This window comes from Homo sapiens, chromosome 10 (genome assembly GCF_000001405.40).
Source record: "Homo sapiens chromosome 10, GRCh38.p14 Primary Assembly".
Lineage (NCBI taxonomy): Eukaryota > Metazoa > Chordata > Mammalia > Primates > Hominidae > Homo > Homo sapiens.
The window spans coordinates 70,584,007-70,586,682 of NC_000010.11; the positions used below are offsets into that span (position 1 = coordinate 70,584,007).

The 2,676-nt window shown below is 50.0% G+C and overlaps 2 annotated features.

Annotated features, from left to right (window-relative positions):
* Window positions 1,036-1,536: an enhancer, noted in NCBI's record as "H3K4me1 hESC enhancer chr10:72344798-72345298 (GRCh37/hg19 assembly coordinates)". NCBI's record gives its function as "activates a minimal SCP1, AML or CMV promoter by ChIP-STARR-seq in naive H9 embryonic stem cells {active_cell/tissue: H9 hESC(naive)}" and the evidence as "EXISTENCE:reporter gene assay evidence [ECO:0000049][PMID:30033119]".
* Window positions 2,028-2,194: a silencer, noted in NCBI's record as "fragment chr10:72345790-72345956 (GRCh37/hg19 assembly coordinates)". NCBI's record gives its function as "represses an EF-1alpha promoter that drives an FKBP-Casp9 reporter gene in an ReSE screen in K562 erythroleukemia cells {active_cell/tissue: K562}" and the evidence as "EXISTENCE:reporter gene assay evidence [ECO:0000049][PMID:32094911]".

Below are 2,676 nucleotides of genomic sequence, written 5' to 3' on the forward strand. Positions count from 1 at the left end.
AACAAATGCTTTTAGGAAATAGCTGGGAGACGTAATTGGGGAGAAAGTCTAAATCATGAAGCCTTTTCAAGAAAGTCCTAGTATTGTTAGAGGAACCCCTGCTTATTAAGCCTCTGGTTTAATAAAACATGACTAGAGTGACTCTATCTTAAAGTGAATAGCTGGGCACTCACAAGGCACCTATAAGGTTAAGGCTTATGTTCTGAAAATAACCATATTCTAAGCTGACTACCAATTATAACTCCAAAATATTTATGGCCATACAGGACATCTCCCACCAAGCCTGCAGAATGTCCAAATGGTCTAAAAATACAACCCTCTTTACGCATTTTTTTTTTGAGACAGTCTCACTCTGTTGTCCAGGCTGGAGTGCAGTTTGGAGTGTAGTGGTACCATCACGGCTCACTGCAACCTTGACTTCCTCGGGCTCTGGCGATCCTTCAGCTTCCGCCTCCTGAGTAGCTGCGACTACAGCCGCTCGCCACCAAGCCGGGCTAATTTTTTGTATTTTTTATAGAAACAGATCTTCACCATGTTGCCCAGGCTGGTCTTGAACTCCTGGGCTCAAGCAATCCGCCCACCTTGGCTACCCAAAGCAGATGTGGGCCACCAAGCCCGGCCTGTTTCTTTTAAGTGGAAACACTAACAAAGGCAGGTGCAGCCTGTTTCTTATAAGTGGAAACACTAACAAAGGAGGGTGCGTTCCTCCTCCTGCTTTCTGAGGATGCCCTACTCTGTAACAAAGGAGTTTCCAATGCATTTACTTCTTTCATTGTTCTCTGTGACCTGCTCCCAGTTCTTTCCTACACAAGATCCAGGAACTGTCCCTGGGGGTCTGGATCCGTACCCCTCTTTTTCTGGCAACAGTATTATTTTCAAATACACTACAGAAAATAAGCAAGAATGAGCTACTGCATCACCCCATGGGGGTCCCTGCAGTACCAGCTTCCAGGAGCATGTCAGAGTCACGAGGGATTGCTTACTCAGGGTTTGTAAACTGATCTGCATGGTTTGCTTAATAAGCAAAACTGCATGGTCTAAATGGTTTCCAAAAAACTTGAAAGCAATTTAGGTTCTTTAGAAAGTTACATAATTCCTTGCCATCTCATTTGCCCTGTCGTGGGGTCTGAAAATCTTGTTTTAGTTTTGTTTTTTAAATCATAAACGGATGTTCATGTCTAGACTGCAGGCTCCGGCTTAGACCTGGGCTCTTCATGTCTCCTGTGCCCAGCTTGCTCTGTTAGCAGTGGGGAGGGGCTTCTGGCAGACTGGAGACCTGGCCACTCCCTCAGCACTCAGCCTCCGGAGAGAGGGCGGGTGTGAGTGCTGGGGAGTGGGGCCTTCTGGCCCATCCACATATGGCCTGGAGCCAGCTCTCTTCCTGTTCTGCCTGTGAGGTCCTCACTGCCAGCTGAGAGGGTTGGAGTGACAGAGAAGGGGTCCAGCGTGCCCAGCATGGTGACTGACATGGGTGTACTCAGGGCACACTCCTTACTTTTCCTTCAAGCTCCCTGTAATTCCCATTTCCAACCTTGCCCACCTTCTTCTCCTCCCAAGAATGGGCATGGGAACTGGGGTCTGCTCAGTGAGTGCCCCTAGCTCTGGCCCCTGGAGAGCTGGCACTGCCACCTGTGGGAATCACTTCCAAATGCCCAGGAGAGTAGGGAGCAACAGCCAGAGGAGCTGAGATTAACCAGTGTGGAGGGAGGGCCCTGAGGAGTCCCCTCTGTCCTGCAGAAGGAGAAGAGTGACTTAGGGCACGCGGGCACTGCCTCAGGCCCTGCAGCAGCTGAGGGGAGGACATACCCAGTGCCGTTGGCTGCAGACGCTGCTTGTCCAAATCCTACCCTTTGCAGCAATTAAGTGAGCGGGGGACTTTGGGCAAGCTATCAGACCTCTCTGAATCTCAGCTTCCTCATGTATAAAAGAGGCCCTTAGGAAAATAAAGTGAGATCAAGCATTTATGCAGGGCCTGTCCCAAAGTAGGCACTTAGGCAGTGGTAAGTAAAGGTAAATACACGAAAACCCCTGAAAGTGCTTGGCATTTATGATGAGTTTGTGCCTCTTAGGCGTGTGTGGCAGGGGCAGGGAACCTTGGCTGGCTCTGGGCCAAGTCCCTTCCTCCAAAAATATTGTCTCCCTCAACTGTGAGTCTCCAACCGTTTCCAGGTAAAAAGGAGAAGAGCTGGCCTTTCTGGGTGGGAGAGAAGCAGTGAGAAGGGGGCTGCTCCTTTCTGCAAGGGAGCCCTGAAGATGAGGAGGTGGGAGGGGAGGGGACAGGAACCCAGGCCACCTATTCTTAGCTTCTTCTCAGGAGCAGGGCTTGGCATTCCTCTTTCTCCCCCACTTTCTCCCTCTCTTGTTCTCTTTCCCCCACCGCTCCAACAATCTGCTCTCAGTTCGCAGTCATTTTAATTCACTTTGGTCCAACAGACGTTTTCCTGTTTGTGAATTTCCCTTTCAGACCAGGCTTTGTGGGAATACTGGGATGAACAAGCGGTGGCCCCTACCCTCCATGAGCTCACAGTCCTGTGAGGGGGCGAGGTGAAGTGGGAATACATGTCAGCATTCATTCATTCATTCATTCATTCATTCATCAATCAATATGCTGTGCCAGGCCCGTGCAGGGGCTATGGAGACAAAGAGGCATCAACAGGAGGAGGTGGTACCAGGGAG